The 19,649-nt window shown below is 39.0% G+C and overlaps 1 protein-coding gene across 23 annotated transcripts in view; it reads right to left on the bottom strand.

The window, feature by feature from the left end:
• VPS8 (VPS8 subunit of CORVET complex) overlaps positions 1-19,649 on the bottom strand; it is a 240,449-nt gene that overhangs the window by 91,171 nt on the left and 129,629 nt on the right. For 21 of the 23 annotated variants that reach the window (NR_146113.2, XM_047447824.1, XM_024453426.2 and 18 more), the window contains one exon: positions 3,923-4,070. Coding sequence is in view for 22 of the 23 variants with exons in the window: in XM_047447824.1 (XP_047303780.1) it covers positions 3,923-4,070 (148 nt within the window). In the remaining variant the exon portion in view is untranslated. Of the gene's footprint in view, positions 1-3,922; positions 4,071-16,854; positions 16,953-19,649 lie in introns of those variants that run through there. The other 2 variants (XM_005247253.6, XM_047447827.1) reach the window with 2 other exon arrangements.

Genomic DNA, 19,649 nt, shown 5'->3' with positions numbered 1-19,649 from the left:
GGTATATACATAATTGATATTCAGCACATTTCTGTAAATTTGAAATATTTCATAATTAAACATTTTTAAAAGTATGTGTGGGCAATTCAGGAGGCAGATGCAGAAAATACAGGCAACTGTTTCAGGAGTGTTGACAGCAAAGGAAAAGCGATACATGACAGCTGAAAAATAAATGTTAAATGGGAAACATACTAATCTGTTATAGAAAATAACGTGTGTGTCTGTACATTTTCATTTAGAAACAAGAGAAAATAAGGGAAGAGAATGAAGGCAATGAATGTGCTAAACTTACTCAACTGCTATTTAGTCTATTAAGTTTTATGGCACAACAAGACTAATCATCTGTGTCTGCAAACAAGAGTTTGGTCTCCTTTCAATATTTTTACTATGTTCCTTTTTCTATGCTTATTGAGTTGGTTAGAATTCCTATCATGCTTGATCGATAACAATTTCTATAAAGCTGACTTTACTAAAATAAATGGAAAGGCAGTTTATCCCAGCAATTAAGAGCATGCACTACAGAGTCAGACTATGTGGGTTCAATCTCAGGGGCTACCACTTAGTAGGTATAAACTTACACAGGTAACTTCATATGTGAGTCTCCCTTTTAATTATGACTTTGACTTACGAATTACCATTATTTCACAGTGAACTGTGATCCTATTCTGATCCAATCTTTTAAACCTTTGACATGTTTGACAGGCTTCTCAAAATCAAAGTTCAGATTCTAAAATTGAGTCTTTTTAACCTCAACCTAATATTGGGATGTTGCAGAGGGTCCCTGAAGCATACAAAAAAGAGAGAATACACCAGCTTATCTGATGTGCTAAATTATATGGGAAACACTGTGACATAAGAAATCATGTTTCTTTGAGTTGAATTTGTATATAGTGTTATTAATATGTGTTCCAAAATTCTATGAGATTCCTAGAAATCTGGTTATGTCTTGGTATATGTTATCAGTCATATTTTGGGTTATTATGTTAAACTGTTGTAGGCCACAGAAAATAACGAAATATCCTTGACAACTATGCCTTTAATCACAGCCATTTTAAGTCATTTTGTCCACAGTTACTTTATTTTGACGCTTTTTTTCTGAAATCTCCTTGCAAATTCTAAAGTGTTGCATCTTCAAGGAGGTCATGAAAAAGAGTGCAACACTATTCACAATAGCAAAGACTTGGAACCAACCCAAATGTCCAACAATGATAGACTGGATTAAGAAAATGTGGCACATATACACCATGGAATACAATGCAGCCATAATAAAGGATGAGTTCATGTCCTTTGTAGGGACATGGATGAAGCTGGAAACCATCATTCTCAGCAAACTATCGCAAGGACAAAAAACCAAACACCGCATGTTCTTATTCATAGGTGGGAATCGAATAATGAGAACACTTGGACACAGGAAGGGGAACATCACACACCGGGGTCTGTTGTGGGGTGGGGGGAGTGGGGAGGGATAGCATTAGGAGATATACCTAATGTAAATGACGAGTTGATGGGTGCAGCACACCAACATGGCACATGTATACATATGTAACAAACCTGCACGTTGTGCACATGTATACTAGAACTTAAAGTATAATAAAAAAATTAAAAAAATAAAAATAAAAGAATAGAAGGGAAAAAAAAGAAAAAAGAAAAAGAGTGCAACAAATACTCTTGAATACAGGTTTCTGACAACTGTGACACCATATTATCACTGGATTGGGTAAAAATTTCCCAAACCCCAATGGAAAAAGCAAACAAACCTGGCCTCATAAAATTGCTAACCTGACATTAAGAAAAATAAGAATAATTACACTGGACTGAAAAAATTTTTTATGACTTGTTTGAAACACTGCTGATACTTTTTATACGTTGCTTTCCAGAGTTAAGAAAACATTTTTTTTCTGGGGTGGTGGTGGGGGGCGGTGGCTATTCATAGCATTACAATAATTTGGTAAAGTATATTTTTGTGGCAAAATTAAAACATTTACTTTTTTCTATACCTGATCCTTCCCAAATTCAGAAACTGAATATTCATATTCTATGGCAATATAGTTATTTTCATGAGTTCAGTAAGAATTTGCTCTGTTTGTAGCAGAAAAATTGGAAACATGGGTTATATTACCAAGGCTTTGACTGGGATGTCATTATTTTTAGATATAACCAGACTCCTTTAAGAAACTAAGCTTAACTTTAAGGAGGCAATAAAGGCCTTGGAAAAACTGGCCTGGTACCTTGTCAAGATGGTGTGCTTACAGGGTTCCTAGCCTGGCAGTAAGTAAAGAATGTCACTTCCTGAGAAGCCCAGGAACTTCAGAATATTTGGGGGCCTCAAGAAAAGAGTATACCCAGGTACTACAGGTAAAATCTGATGATGGCAAGCCCATGGCTTCGTTTCCCAGCCTGAAGACGAGAGACTTTTAAAGGTCTACTCTGAGATTTCTTGTAAGTTTCAGCAGAGGAGATTTTTAAAAAGCCTAAATGGCCAATCACTACTCTTGCAGTACTTATATAAATAATCAGGCCAAATATGACACTAAACTTATTTTACAAGTCAATTGAACTTACTCTGATTATTTTTGGTAAAAATGGGGGAACTGGAGAAAAAACTATTTCAGAAAAAAAAACTACAGTAAACATTATGAGATTCTAACTCACGGTTTTTGAGATTTTATTATTTACTTGCAATTTGACTAAATCTGAATTTTTAGTTTCCTCCAATATCTGACCAACTCTCCAAACTAGTATTTGAACATTTTCTCCCATTTTTCTGACTTGGAATCACTGAAATTAAAACTGCTTTTCCTGAAGCTCTGCACACTAAAGCTAGACAACTTGATATTAACTTTGGAGGAATCACCACAACTTATTTATGGACAGAAAGTTCACTGGAACACCTCATTCAAACGGCAATCCAGGAAAATCTGTCCGATTGCCATTTCCTACTTCCACCCCAACTATAGATACTTTAAACACAAATCTTGAAATATTCTCAGCTGGCTCCCCTCCAGACTGAGAGACAAGCTTAGAGACTGCTCCAAACATTAACTTTTGTTTCCTTTTTGTTTCTATAGAAATGTCTTTTATTAAATGCCTATGTGCCTATACCTTTGTCGGAAACACACTTACAACACCACCACCTCCTAAAATGAGATGCAACTATTTAACTAAACTGACCCATTTTCACAACCAAGAGATTGTTTCAATAAGGGACAATGTACCCGAATTTGTTCCTTTCCACTTGTTCCAATCTATGATTTTCTCCCCTCTGCCAATCTATTACGTCAAAACCACTAACCCAAATCTCTCCACAGTTACCCACCCGGCGTTTAATATGTGAAACTTTCTAAAAGTAAAGTTTCAAAGGGGGCACTGAACAAAACCAAAATATGTTTCCCCCAAATATTGAGGATTGTTAAGTTAAAGACAATGAAAATGCAGGGGAATCCTCTGCTCCCGCCTCTATCTGCCTGATAGCAGGACATACATTCTTTACTGGAGATAGCACTTGCTTATTGGCCCGGAGAAGGCACCAGCAGGCACGGGAGGAATCTGGGAACACAGCTGACTATCTTCCCATACATGTTTCCACCTTTTACTAGGCTGGAACTGCTCTCTCCTGTCTTGTCACTATGTAAGATTTAAGGCTCTTTGTTAAAATACAGTTTAAGCAAAGCCCCTAAGCCACTGCCTTGAGAAAGATACTTTTGAACTGAGGTCTCTCCTACATGATGGGTATAGCACATATCAATAAACCTCTGTTTTTCTTTTGTTAATCTGACTTTTGTTTTCAGGAGTATGTCTCAACTAAGAATTTATAAGGTTTAAAAAAGAAATTATATATTTTTTCCCCTTGTCTTTGATCATCTGTCAAATGGAGAATGTTAAGAAGAGTTTACTCTTGTCTCTTTTACATTGTTCGTCTCACCTGAATAGTTTCTTCCAGACGGTAGCACTCAAGGACTTGCAGAGTCTCTATAACTTGGGTTGGGTTGAACTGACACAACAGCTCAATGAACTGCTCTGTGATACAAGGAGATATTTGCAGTAATTCTTGATTTACATGAATACCTTCCCTAAAAACATAAAAGATAAAGAGAACACTCAATTGTAGCATTATTTAATCACATCTATAATTAAAAGCTACCAGTAAAAAGCACATTACATTAAAACTAGGACTACCTGCTGGTCAGATAAAAATATGAATTGAAAGTCTCAATGTTATTTAGGTTACTTGAGCAAACTGTACATTACATAAGAGGCATTGTAAGTTGTAATATTACTCAGGTTATGTTGAATAATTAAGGAAGTAACATTCAGTTGAAACTCTTCTAAATCATACCAAAAGTTGTGTTTTATTCTAAAAGAAACAAGAGCCACCCAATTTAGTCCTAATACTTTGATCTCTAAGTAACTATATATAACCATCTTCCAATCTCAGTAAGTGTTTCTTCTTTATATTCTTCATAGCACCAATCATATCACATTGCAATGACTTCTTTAATTATCTATCTTCTCTAAAACACTATAAATTCTGTGAGGGGTAGGTACCAGGTATCTTCTCAGTAGTAAATTTTTGAAGCTAACCAATGTCTTGCACATAGTGAGGACTAATTTTTTTGGTTATTGTTATAATAAATAAAGGAGTAATACTAAAATACACAATATTTATGGGTTCATTTGCCTAGTACACCAGCTACTCACATAGCCCGCTATTCACAATGCCTACACAAAAGTTTTGGAAGTAGAGTATTAACTGCATCATACTGGCCACTCAAGCACTCAACTACTGATGGCCGAAAGTAGCTGCTTAGGAAATCAACTGTTCATTGGAGACCTAAGAATCATCCTCTCTCTAGCTTCAAAAGAACTTAGTTCCTTCTGAGAGTCCTATCTTCTCTTCGGAATTCCTCAACTAAAGCTCATTATTATATAAATAACTGGAATACGGTTAATAAGATACAACAATGATTGCTTGGAAAACTAGCCCAGTTCTGAAGAAAGGTTAAAGCACATGGTCTAAAGAAGTAGTTTCCAGGTTTTCTCATATTGTGGCACACAGAAAATAAGATATTTGTTTGGTCCACTGTAGTGAAGTAAGATTGCTCACAAGGGACTCTGGTTGTCCCAAGAGCTGAGACAGTCTGCAGGCACACTTGTAACCATGTACAGTACATCAATAGCCACAGGGTGGGACTCTCTGGACTCCAGAAAGAACAATTTGGATTTTGTGATTATTCATAAGTGATGGTAAGTAGTGCTTCTACTTTTACTAATAAGAAGCTTGGGTCAAAGAAAAAGAGACTGTATTTAGACACAGGGCATTTTCCCTAATTTAAGAGCTTTGTGATACCAGAGGTGGGTAAACGATAAACTAAAAAAATTCTGCTGCTTGGAACTTTCAATACTTGCTGATGGGCTAATTCAGTATCTCCTCAAATTGGCTATAAATTCCAAAGAAAGAGTGTTCTTTTTTTTTTTTGTATCTTATAACTGCCTTTAATACAGAAGTTTGTTCAGTGACTGGCCATTCCCTATGTATACCACCACCTTAGTTCTCACCCACAACTTGAAAATCATGTTTAAGTATGTGTGTCCCCAACCACATTGTAAAGTCCATGGTATTGCATTCATAATTGTTTACCCATCATTAAGACATAATAAATAGTGCTCAGTAATCTGATGTAAATATATATTGAACTGAACTGAAATGAATGTAGACAGTACATTGGACTGCCTTCAAACAGAGGAAAACGTGTAGGGTCCAGTCCTACGGGGCTTAGCAGGTGTTCTCCCTGTGTGCAGAGACAAGAGATTGTAATAAATAAAGACACAAGACAAAGAGATAAAGAGACAATAGCTGGGCCCGGGGAACCACTACCACCAAGACGCGGAGACCAGCAGTGGCCTCAAACGACTGGGCGTGCTGATATTTATTGCATACAAGACGAGGGGGCGCAGGGTAAGGAGGATGAATCTTCTAAGTGATAAGGTGAAGCAAGTCACATGATCATGGGACAGGGGGCCCTTCCCTTTTAGGTAGCCACCGCAGAGATAGAGAAGGCAGCATATGTCAGCGTTTTCTTCTATGCACTTATAAGAAAGATCAAATACTTTAAGACTTTCACTATTTCTTCTACTGCTATCTACTACGAACTTCAAAGAGGAACCAGGAGTACGGGAGGAACATGAAAGTGGACAAGGAGAGTGACCACTGAAGCACAGCACCACAGGGAGGGGTTTAGGCCTCCAGATGACTGCGGGCAGGCCTAGATAATATCCAGCCTTCCACAAGAAGCTGGTGGAGCAGAGTGTTCCCTGACTCCTCCAAGGAAAGGAGACTCCCTTTCGCGGTCTGCTAAGTAACAGGTGCCTTCACAGACACTGGCGTTACCACTTGACCAAAGAGCCCTCAAGCGGCCCTTATGTGGGCGTGACAGAAGGCTCACCTCTTGCCTTCTAGGTCACTTCTCACAATATCCCGTCAACACCTGACCCTATACCCACCGGTTATTCCTAGGTTATATTAGTAAAGCAACAAAGAGTAATATTAAAAGCTAATGATTAATGTTTATAATAATGATTGATAATTGTCCATGATCATCTCTATATCTAATTTGTATTATAACTATTCTTATTTTAACTATTTTCTTTATTATACTGAAACAGTTTGTGCCTTCAGTCTCTTGCCTCGGCACCTAGGTAATCTTTCGCCCACAAAAACGAAGAATAGAGGGCTGAAAACTACAGGGACTAGGGCTATAAAGTCAGAGATAATTAGGAATAAATCCTATCGGAAAGTCCTACATGGAGAAATTAGAAGCAGCCCATGATAAATCTAGGGACACGGCAGTTCTCTATGTGGGAATATAATATTGTGATATAATAAGCACACAGCTCCTAAAATCCTTAAGCTTTCCAAAGTGTTATCTTCTTACATACTAGTGAGATGACTGAGGGCTGGAGGCTCCTGGCCAGCCTCAGGATAAGGGCTGGTTGGTTGTCAGGAGGGCCAACCATGTGATTAGAGAGCTGGAACTTTCAGTCCCACCCCAGCCCTGACACCTCTGGAGAGGGAAGAGTGGCTGAAGATTGACTTGATCACCAATGGCCAACGATGTAATCAATCACGTCTACATAATAAAGCCTCCATAAAAACCCCAAGGACTAAGTTCAGGGAGTTTCTGGATCACTGAACATGTGGAGGGTCCTGGAGGGCAGTGTGCACTGAGAGAGCATGGAAGCTCCCTGGCCCTTCCCACAAACCTCTCCCTATTCATTTCTTCTATGTGGCTGTTCCCCTATATCCTTTGTAATATCCTTTATTATAAACCAGTAAATGTAAGTAAGGTGTTCCCTGAATTGTGTGAGCTGCTCTAGCAAATTAATGGAACCTGCGGAGGAGGGTCAAGGGTATCCTGATTTAAAGTCCTAGTTGGTCAGAAGCACAGGTTACAGCCTGGGGCTTATGCTCGGCACCTGAAGTAGGGGCTAGTTTTGTGGGACTAAGCCTGTGGGAAGAGAAATAAAAGGAAAATCCTAAGCTCCCCAACCAACTTAATGAAACTGAGATGGAGCAGGGGCCTCTCTTAGCAGCCTGCCACACACCTTTCCCTCCTTCAAGCATGAAAATAAGGAAAAATCTTGAATCTCTTCGAGGGAAATTCCAGGCATCTAGCTAGTCTTTAGAAGTAAATGAGCAACCTGATAACAAAGAAACAGCTTACAACAATAGCCACCCAAGTAGGTTAGAGCCACAAGATGTTTGATTCCCTGTAGAAATTAAAGATAACATCTTAACATATGTCCCTGAGTTGTTTTTCTGAAACCTGCACCACAACCAGATGGAAAATGCCAACCACTGTCATGCAGAACTCAGATAAGGGGGCCCCTGAGGACTGAGCTCTGTCTGCTGTTGTTTGCTCTAGATTGCTTCCTAAAGGGTCTGAAGAGAGTCACGCCCACAAGCCAAACCTTAATATTCCTTCTGCTGACCCCAAGTTCTCAGGCAAAGCCTTGCTTCCTTAACCAACTGCAAATCAAAGAATCTCTGAATCCACCTATGCCATATAGGACCCCCACTTCAAGATATCCCACCTTTTTAAGCCAAATCAATGTATAAAACCTCCATGTAGTGATTTGCAATTTGGCCTGTAATTTCTGCTTTCCTGAAATGTTCCCCTGCCTTTAAAAACTCTTCCTGTAAGCCATCAGGGATGTCTGGTCTTAAGCATGAACTGCCAATTCTCCTTGCTTGGTGCCCTGCAAATAAATGCCCTCCGTTCTCTCACTGCAAACCTCAATGTGGGTGTTTGGCTTTACTGCACCAGGTAAGTGGACCCAGGTTCAGTTTGGTAACAGACCCCATCTTAAAAATTGAGTTCCCAGCCATGACAGGATGGCAGGTCTGACATGCCTCAGTAGGCCCCTCCCTTATTAACCTTTAACCAGAATTCTTTCCTAAGGAGTAAACAGAAAACAGCTCTGGAAAACAAAAAACATATGGCTCATTCTTTCATTGCCTTTAGCCAACTGTCTGAGGTTGTGACCAGACTCTTGCTCCTCCTCTGCTGTTTCAATGTGACAGCTCACCAGTTTCACAACACATCCTTTCCTAAACACTAAACACCACCTCCACAACTGTTTTGCCGAATGGCAGAGGACATGCAGTGAGGGTTTTCGTGTCATCTGCTTCACCTTTTGACATCAGAGGGCTGAAAACAGCCCATTTGGATTGTGCTAATGCTGCCATATTTTGAACACGGGTCCCACAAAAAGGCGTGAAGCTTGATTGTGCATGTGCTTATTTCTCCTTTCATAAATATTCATGACTCTTCCTATAGGTTACTGAATATATATACTTAGCTACTCTACTCAGCGTAAATTACTATTCCCTTTACCCCTCCCTTGAACTGCTTATTTTCAGCTTCTGCCAGAGGCTACACTTCCCAGCCCGTAGAATGGCCACCTTGCAGGTTGCAACTCTTTATCTGAAATAAAGCTCTCCTTTCAAAATTTATGAACCTTGTGATTCTTCAGTTGGCAAGGATCTGACAGTAACTCCAGATACATAGTGTCAGAAATGAGTGAAATTGTAGGCTACCCAGTTGGTGCCCACTAGAGAACTGCTTGATTGGTGTGTGGGGAAAAATCCCCACACACGTCACCAATGCAGACTGGTTTATCTTATTATCAGAGGAATCAAGGTTGTGTCTCAAGAGAACACTATTAGGTAAAAGAAAATGGGAATGTTAACCAATGTTTCCCCACATTCAGATGAGCCAGTGTGTTTTCCAGAGGTTTATGCCAAATTGTAGCTTGTGTTTTATGCCACATTGTTGGTATTTCATTTACATCAGACTTCTGTTAATATGTCTTATAAATGCAAGACTATGGAGCAAATTAAGACCAGACATAAGTATGAATAACAGTACTTAATTCTTTCCAGAAAATTTATTGACACAACCATTTACGAGAAACAAAGTTGTGAATATGCATCAAACCAAGCAAATCACCCAGATGAATAGATTTTGATGGATTCATTTGTGAGAGAAGTAACGTGTCTGATGGGAAATAATCAGGCCACATCAATATAATCAAAACTTTAATAAATTAGCTGGAGCATTAATGAATTTACATCCATTTCTGACTGTTGCTTATCAGTCTTGCACATAAATTTGTTATATCCATTTCCCAAAGCTATCTGTTAGTCTTCTATTAACTATCTGCTTTGCAATACACCCACTGCTTTCTTTTGTCAGTTTTAGAAGAAAGCATGTGTGTGCCTTGTGAAACACACACACAAACCCTGCCTACTACAGAATTCAGGTTGGAGCACATATCCACTCTTACTCAGATTGTGAAAATCATTTCAAATTATAACTCTGTAAACTGAACCATTTCTAGGGAAGACTAAAAATATATATCAGTTTTGAAAAACATACATCAAATTCTTTTTTTTTTTTTTTAGACAGTCTCACTCTGTCGTCCTGGCTGGAGTGAAGTGCTGTAATTTCAACTCACTGCAATCTCCGCCTCCTGGGCTCCAGTGATCCTCCCACTTCAGCCTCCTGAGTAACTGAGACTATAGGTGTGGGGCACTACGCTGGCTAATTTTTGATATTTTTGTAGAGATGGGGTCTCACCATGTTGCCTAGGCTGGTCTTGAACTCTTGGGCTCAAGCAATCCACCTGCCTCAGCCTCCTAAAGTGCTGGGATTACAGGTGTGAGTCACCATGTCTAGCCCACATTAAAATTATTCTAAAATTCAAATTCTGTAAATTAGTTCAGCCATTGTGGAAGACAGTATGGCAATTCCTCAAGGAGCTAGAACCAGAAATACCATTTGACCCAGCAATTCCATTACTGGGTATATACCCGAAGGAATATGAATCATTCTACTATAAAGACATAGGCACACATTGTTTATTGCAGCACTATTTACAATAGCAAAGTCATGGAACCAAGCCAAATGCCCATCAATGATAGACTGGATAAAGAAAATGTGGTACATATACACCATGCAATACTATGCAGCCATAAAAAGGAATGAGATCATGTCCTTTGCAGGGACATGGATGAAGCTGGAAGCCATCATGCTTAACAAACTAACACAGGAACAGAAAACCAAACATCAGATGTTCTCACTCATAAGAGGGAGCTGAACGATGAGAACACATGGACACAGGGAGGGGAAGAACACATACCAGGGCCTGTTGGAGGGTGGGAGGCGAGGGGAGGGAACTTAGAGGATGGGTCAATAGGTTCAGCAAACCACCATGGCACATGTATACCTATGTAACAAACCTGCACATTCTGCACACGTAACCCAGAACTTAAAGTAAAATAAAAATTAAAAAATAAATAACATTCAAATTTTGACTTCCTAACATTTGACAAAGAAAATAAACATTGCGTTGGAATTTTTTTAAAGGCTAGTCTAGTCCCACCCCCTCACTCTAAAAACTGTATCTAAATAGGCCAGTCTAGATTAATCTTCCATTTCTCTAAGGAAGAGGATTTCACAATCTCCTTCATATATTGCTTTTACAATTTAGGTCCACTTCGGCTTAGCCTAAATCCTGTCTGCTTAAATTCTCTGCTCTATCCCATATATCCAGTCCTTAGATGTGGTGGCCCCCTTTTGACTACCCAGTACCTTTTAGACTGAGAATGCAAATACATCATCCACAACAAGCTAGAGTAAAAAAAAAAAAAAAAAAAAAAAAAAAAGCAGAAAACTGCTGGGCGTGGTTGCTCACGTCTGTAATCCCAGCACTTTGGGAGGCTGAGGTGGGTGGATTCTTTGAGGCCAGAAGTTTGAAACCAGCCTGGGCAACATGGTGAAACCTCATCTCTACTAAAAACATAAAAAATTAGGGCGTGGTGGTGCGTACCTGTAATCCCAGTTACTCGGGAGACAAAGGCAGGAGAATCACTTGAACCCAAGAGGTGGGGGTTGCAGTGAGCCGAAATCACGCCACTGCACTCCAGCCTGGGCAACACAGTGAGAGACTCTGTCTCAATTAAAAAACAACAACAGCAGCAACAAACAACAACAACAACAACAAAAACCCCTATTTTCCCTATAGTTGTCATTCAAATCACAAGGCCTTTAAGCTGAACTTTCAGCTTTCCATACACATTGTGAGTTAAAAATGCCAAATGTAATCCTTAGTTTTGCCAACTAAGCAAAACATAAATGAATGTTCCAATCTGCCTGAAAAATACATTAAATGTGATTATTACAGGTAGTAAAGACAGTATCTATAAAATCTGTATGAAACTGTAACATACAAACACAATGGTCTCTACAAACTTGACAAGCATTGACTGAGACAGAAACTTTCCTCTGGCAAGAAGGAATCCAGTGCATCCTTGGTCTCTTTGCTCCCCACCAAGACCGCCACGATCCACATAGCTAACAGTATTTCCGCATATAGGAACAGCCACAATCCCTCATAAACTTTTAAGAGGCACAGAACAAAGCAGGCAAGCTCATCACTGCCTGACAGCAAAGACTCTGACACATCACGTTAATGTAACAGCAGATCTAAGACAGCTGGCTGTAGGGGATTTGGTCACTTTCCACTTCCCTGGTTTGACTAATAATCAAATGCCAAAATCTAACTTTTCAAATCTTTTTTTTTTTAAAGACAGAATCTCATGCTGTTGGCCAGGCTGGAGTGCAGTGGCATGATCATGGCTCACTGCAGCCGCGACCTCCCCAGCTCAAGCAATTCTCTCACATCAGCCTCCCAAGTAGCTGGGACTCTAGGTGTGCACCACCACGCCCTGCTAATTTTTATAGAGATAGAGTTTCACTGTGTTGCCCAAACTGGTCTTGAACTCCTCGGCTCAAGCAATCTACCCATCTCAGCCTCCTAAAGTGGTGAGGTTACAGGTGTGAGCCACCTCACCCAGACTAATCTTTCAAATTTTAATAAAATTTGTTATTTCTCTGATAGTCATGAAAAGAAAGTATATATTGTTCTCCTACGTAGGAAGGAAAAATGAGCTTTATAACCTAATAGAAATAAGAGCCTAATGATTTCAGGGACAGGAGGAATAATTTAGCTCTATAACCACATCAGGTATAAATGTTATTTGAATCATTCTAATTCTATACAGGCTGGGATGTCGTATTTTCAGACTACTTTAAGAAACTAAGGTTAACTTTAAGGGGCCATTGAAGCCCTTAGAATAACTAGCCTGGTGCCATGTCTACATGGTTCCCAGCCTTGCAGTAAGTAAAGAATGTCACTTTCTGACAGGCCCAGGAACCTCAGAATATTCTGGGGACTCCAAGCAAAAATGAATTCACCCAAGTACTACTGGTAAAATCTGATTACTATGCTGGCCACTGATTTACTACTGGTAAAGTCCGTGGCTTGACTTCCTGCCCTGAAGACCCTTTTTTGTTTTTTGGAGACAGGTCTCCCTCTGTCATCCAGGCTGTAGTGCAACGGCTGTGGCACAATCACAGCTCACTGTTAACTTCAAACTCCTTAGCTCAAGCAATCCTTCTGCCTCAGCCTCCTGAATAGCTGGGATTATAGGTGTGACTACCATGCCTGGCTAATTTTTCATTTTTATTTGTTTTAGAGATGGGGTCTTACTATGTTGCCCAGGCTGGTCTTGAATTCTTGGCCTGTAGAGTCTTTTAAAGGTATAATCTGAGGTTTCTTATAATAAATTCCAACAAAGCAGATTTAAAAAAAAAAAAAGAGCCTATATGGCCAATCACTATTCTTGTTGCACTTTATGCAAATGATCAGGCCAAGTATAATAAGGCTAAAACTGGTTTTTATAATTAAATTAGTGTAATTACTGTAAATATCTTTAGTAAGAATGGGGGTAATTATAAAGAGAACTTATGTTTCAGAAGAAAACTATAGCACATCTGTTATTAAATTCTAGACCTGTCTACTGTTTTTGAGTTTTTTTATTACCTGGACTAAATCCTGAATTTTTAGTTTCCTCCAATATCTGGCTATGACTCCCAGACTAATGTTTCTAATTTTTCTCCTACCTTTCTGACTTGAAATCATTAAAAGTTTAAAGTGTGCTTTCCCTGAAGCCCTGCAAGCTAAAGTTACACAACTTGATATAAACTTCAAAGAAATCATACAAATTATTTATGGAAAAAAGTTCACTGAAATTTTGACGCAAACAGCAATCCAGAAAAATCTGTCAGAATCACCAGTTTACTTTTACTCCAACTGTAGATATTTTGAAAACAAATATAAAAATCTTCTCAGCTGACTGCTCCAGAATTAAACAAGCTAACAGACTGCCCCAAACATTAACCTTTGTTTTTCTTTTGCTCCCACAGACATGCCTCTTGCTAAATATATTTGTCTATATCATAGAGTTGATTTTGATTTAAAAAAAAAAAAACCTGCCCACAACATCACCTCCTGAAATAAGATATAACTGATCAACTGAACAGAGTAATTCTCAGGACTAAAAGACTGTTTCAATAAGGTATGGGACAATGTACCCAAATTTGTTCCTTTCCACTTGTTTTAATCTATGATTTTCTCCCCTCTGCCAAACTCTTATGTCAAAATCTCTAACCCAAAATCTCTCCAGAGCTACCCACCTAGCTTTTAATATGTGAAACTTTCTGAAAGGAAAGTTTCAAAGGGGGCACAGAACAATCAAAATACATCTCCCCAAAATATTGAGGATTGTTAAAAACAATGAAAATGTGGGGGAACTCTCTGCTCCCGCCTCTATCTGCCTGATGGCAGGACATAACATTCTTTACTGGAGACATCACTTGCTTATTGGCCCAGAGAAAGCACCAGCAGGTACCAGCGGAATCTGGGAACAGATTTTACTATCTCTCCACACGTCTCCACCTTTTACTAGGCTGGAACTGCTCTTTCCTGTCTTGTCACTATGTAAGATTTAAGGCTTTTTGTTAAAATACTGTTTAAGCAAAGCCTCTAAGCCACTGCCTTGAGAGAGACACTTTTGAACTGAGGCCTGTCTCACATGATGGGTACATCACACATTAATAAGCTTCTGCTTGTTTTTCTTTTGTTAATCTGAGTTTTGCTTTCAGTAGAGTGTCTAAACTAAGAACTGAAAAGGAAAAAAAAGTTTTTTTCCCTAAAATGACTTTACAGCTATTATTACACATAAGTAAACTGCTCTCAAGAAAACAGTGTGGATGAGGAGGGAGGAACAGGTATGTGAAGGGAAGAATGGCAATGTGTAGTGTACCTGATGAACACGTAGGTCAGCACTGCTCAGGAATAAAGGAGAGAAGAGATATGGGAAGATAGAAGAAAATGCTGCTGGCCAGGTGGGCCTGAATCCTTTTGTACCAAGAAGGGCCTTGTATACCAGGAAAACTGGATTTCACCTTAGGTAATGGGAACTGAAAGAGCTTTAAGAAAGTGGCAGAGAACATTATCATTATCTGCCTGTTCAAAAACGGAAAAGGAAGCCAGGCTGGTTATGAAGCTGCCACTGCAAAGATGATGACGGTGAGAGAAATCTAGCATGGTTTACTCCGTCTTGTGACAAGCCTCATAGGCTGGCTGTCCTCGCTCATTCCTGGGCGCAGGCCAAGCTAACCATGAGTGGAATTTAATTTACAGTTTAACTTTGAAGCAAGGATGATAACAGTCCCCCTAAAACTAACCCCTTCCTTGCTCAGGGACCAAAATCACCTTTGTAAGACTAATGAAAGACTACAAGATTGGGATTATGGGAAGAGCCTGAATTCTGCTAAAATATAGGTGTAGCTAAATGGCAGCCAGCCACTGTAACCTAGCTTGCCTTTCTATAATCCCTTGCTGCACAAGGAGTCATATGGCCAGACATCGTAAGATCTGTGACTTCCCCAACTGCTCCTATAGATAACACCACTATTGTAGAACCTAAGATTGGTCTTTGGAGATGTTTTCAGACTTTTGCATTCTGGCCATCTTCTGACTCTAACCAGACCTGGGACTCATGACTAAAGTGGTCCTGTGGCCCCCACTGAGGCAGACTCAATACGTAAGGACCATTTTCCACACTACTATGATTTCATCTCCAACCAGTCAGCAGTGCCCATTCCCTAGCTCCTTGCCCACCTAATTATCCATAAAAGCCCCAGCCTCTGAGTTCTCCAGGAAACTGACTCAAGTTATTACACCAGACCTCCCATGTGGCTAGCTCTGTGTTAATTAATCTCTTTCTCTACTGTAATATTGTGGTCTCAGTGAATTGGTTTTTCCGTGTAGCAGGAAGAACCTGTTGGGAGATTACAGTTGGGAAACCAGCAAAAGAAACCAGAGGAGGGATGTTGAGTGCCTAAACCAGGGCAGTAGGGGTAAAGACAAGAAGAAAAATCACATATAAGAGACAGAGAAGAGGTAGAGTTTATAGATTTTGGTAACTGTTTCTGCGCGGTGTGGTGACAAGGTAGAGTGGGAATGGATAAAGGAAAGTGAAAACTTGATCATCACTCTCAGGATTTTATTTAAGATACTTATACATAATTACCTGCTTCTGCCTATCTTCCTCCATTAGAATGTAAATTCTCTGAAGGCAGGGCCCTGTCTTATTCATCATTTTATCTCCCATGCCTGTCAAGTGCTTGGTATGCTGTAGTTACTCAGTAAATTGCTACATAAAATAAATGAGTTTATGATATTAATTGTTAAGAGAGAAGAGGTTTAGGCTGGAAAAAGTGAGTATAAATAAAAATTTCATTATAGGTAAGTACTGATTAAAGGAATAAAGAAATATATATGTAATAAACATATATATATAGAGAGAGAGAGAGAGAGAAAGAGAGAGAGGAGCTGACTGGTGATTAGGAGGTGATGATGTGTTACAATTTAAAAGGTTGATTTTGAGTTGCTAGCAAAATACTAACCAAAGATATAAGATCTAGGGGTAAGCCAGGCCAAATTAACAATCACCTTGGCCACTGTAGGCACTCATTGAAGTAGGTATTTTTTTTAATATGTCAAAGTTCATGAACATATATAATCTCCTAATTTTGTATTTTAACTTTGAAATATATTATTTCAATACTGAGTGTCAATATCTTAAAATGTCCCTTCAAAAATATCCACAGCAACACTGACAGATTCAACTAAAATCCAATGCATAACCATTTCCATAATCTATATCTTGCTCCTTGACAAAGTTACTCATTTTCTTAACAATGTTCAATTTTTACTTTACTTTGATTAAAGACTTTCAGATACAATGTGACGTATGTGTTTTTTTCCTACAGGAAAATCATACTATATGTTTCAGAGGCCTTCAGAATATTGTTAACAAAGGCTAAATCAACATTACCAGGAAAATCATACTGAGGAAAATATTCAGAATATAAATATACTTGCACATTCTCTTTACTCCTTATGCAGCTCATGGCCTCACAAAAAACACGTGTCCTTTTGTATTATCCTTTAAGCATCCCCACTGCATAAGGAACCTGCAGCTGGGTGTAAGCACATCAGGAGAACTCCTGTGAGAATTCATGGCCAGCAGCAATGCACCCAGGGGATGGGGGTAGAGTCGGGCTTTACGTAGCAGCTGTCCCAAAGGAAATAATTGGAAGAGGATGCAAATCCTCTCTCCCAAGCTGTTGTCCTTAATTCAGGCAAGTAATTTCCTTCTGGAGGATTAATCCCCTCTCCCCCTAAAACTACCTAATCTTTCTATGTACAGATGCCACCAATATCTTTGCAGGTCAATTAATTTGACTGAGGAAACTATTTACATAACAAGGATGACATAAAGACACTGGGTAAAGACATAGAGAAATATCCACACAAATTCAACTGGATGACCTATCCTTTTAAAAATGCTGTTGACAAAATAAAAACTACCCCCTCAAAAACAACTTGATACTTGTAAATGTTTGTTTGTGTGTGTGTGTGTGTGTGTGCAACCTCTGCCTCCCAGGTTCAAGCAATTCTCCTGCCTCAGCCTCCTGAGTAGTTGAGATTACAGGTGTGCGTGACCACGCCCGGCTAATTTTTGTATTTTTAGTAAAGACGGGGTTTCACCATGCTGGCCAGGTTGGTCTCGAACTCCTGACCTCAGGTGGTCCGCCCGCCTTGGCCTCCCAAAGTACTGGGATTACAGGCGTGAGCCACCGTGCCTGGCCATACATGTAAATGTTAAATTAAATATGCATAAACTATACATACAAGAATGAGAATCCTATTAACTCAGGTGTTGGCGGCAAGAGCAAAAAAAGCAACACTGAGATGATACATACACACCAGCAGTCCTCATCTCAAAATAACTGTTTTCTTTCATAATGCTGCTTTAGGAGTTTCATGGCGGAAAAAACCTGGAGGTTAAAAATATCTATTGCTTAAAAAGAACAAAAAGAGAAGAAACAAAGGCAAAAATATTTCACAGTTGGCTGTCAAGTAAACTGCTAGCCGGGGCCAGTCTACCTATTCTTGATGTTGTTTTGACCCTATATCCGTATTCTGTACTCCCTCAGTTTTCCCAGTACCTGAAAAGACTCTAATCCTTTACTTTAGGTTAGTTAACAAGCATGGTCACTAAAAAACAGCTAAAATGTAATGAGAAGTTAGTCAATCAGAGACTAATATAAACCAATCCATGTGCTCTGCGCTTTCTTCTTACCCTTGAGGTCAACTGTATTAGGAAAAGGTGTTGAGTTTTTTCCCCATCTTTTATATGCTTCATTGTTTTCATATGTCATTTATATATTTCTCATTGTAAAAGGGGCCATACAATACAGAAACTGACAAAGCAACTAGAAAACAGTTTTGATGGGGAAATGGAGGAAGGTAATTTGGATTTTTTACATCTATAAAGAACACTCTATATCTGAGTGTGCCTATAATGCAAAGAGCTTGAAGAAGTGTGTGTACCCTGCATCCCTGGAAAGAAGGGAACGGAATGGGGTGGAGGTAGGGTTCAAAGGATACCAAAAACAGACCTTAAACAAATCAAAACTTTTTCTAACAACCACTCTCAAAGCAAGAAAGGGAGAACTTCCTCTTTTTTCTTTACTCCCTCGGCACTCAACCTTCTTAACCTACTTTCTCTCCCTCAATCCGGAACTCAATATGTTACTAGTATTATATATTTATTTACACTGTGGGTTAAAGAAGCTTTTATGGATTAGCTTGAGATACTATCATTTAAAATGTTCTTTACATAAAAATGATTGAAATGCCAAACATTAAATTCAAAAATAAGTTTAGAGCATAATCTAAATCAATGCCTGCCTCCTATGGAAGACATAAAGTAAGAGGATAAAATATGATGAATCCAAGAATCAGGACTCTCAAAGCAGAACACGCGGTCTTTGATACTTTGGAGGCAGATCAATACAAACATGAGCTCTTTTTAAAGGCAGAGCTAAGGTAAGCTGGTGACTTCAAGGCTCTTAATTTCTGGTAGACAAACGTAAAGCTAGAAATTTGGCTGTGAGAGTGAGGTCATTCCTGGTCATGTCACTTTTTGGGGAAGGGGAGAGGAAGGCCTGTGAGCACGCTGACTCTTTTCAAGGTCGGTAAGAAAGGACCTTGCGCCTGAATTGATATGACAGGAAAGGAATAATGTGTGAGAGGTAATTATCCTGGTTAGGGTTAGCTTAGGGAAATAAAATATACCTGTTTCTCAAGTAAAATGATCTGTGGTTTACTGGTGAACAAAACAACTTTCACAGCACTCATAAAGGGTCTTACCTAACTAACATCTTTCAAATCTAGATATAGGTAAGAAGGGAGCAAGACTGTCCATTGAAGACCTTTGATACTTGTGATATGCCTTTTTTTTTGTAATATTTATTTTAAATAGTGACCGCAATACCAAAGCAGGTATATTATTTGTATTTGCTTTTTATTAAAAAATGATTGAAATGCCAAACATCAAATTCAAAAAGTTTAGAGCATAATCTACATCAATGCCTACCTCCTATATAAGACATAAAGTAAGAGGATAAAATATGATGAATCCAAGAACTAGGATTCTCAAAGCAGAACACTAGGTCTTTGACAGATATTTACATTACCTAATACTGTTTTTTTTTTTAAATAAAAAAATATACTTGGTCACCATCACTTTCCACACTTCATTTGAGAAAATGCCAAGTTCAAAGCTGACCTTCCCCTGTTGTTCTTGCTTGAGTCTCTCCAGGTAGGAT

The sequence above is a fragment of the Homo sapiens genome, chromosome 3 (assembly GCF_000001405.40).
Source record: "Homo sapiens chromosome 3, GRCh38.p14 Primary Assembly".
Taxonomy (NCBI): Eukaryota; Metazoa; Chordata; class Mammalia; order Primates; family Hominidae; genus Homo; species Homo sapiens.
This window is presented reverse-complemented; position numbering and strand designations above follow the sequence as displayed.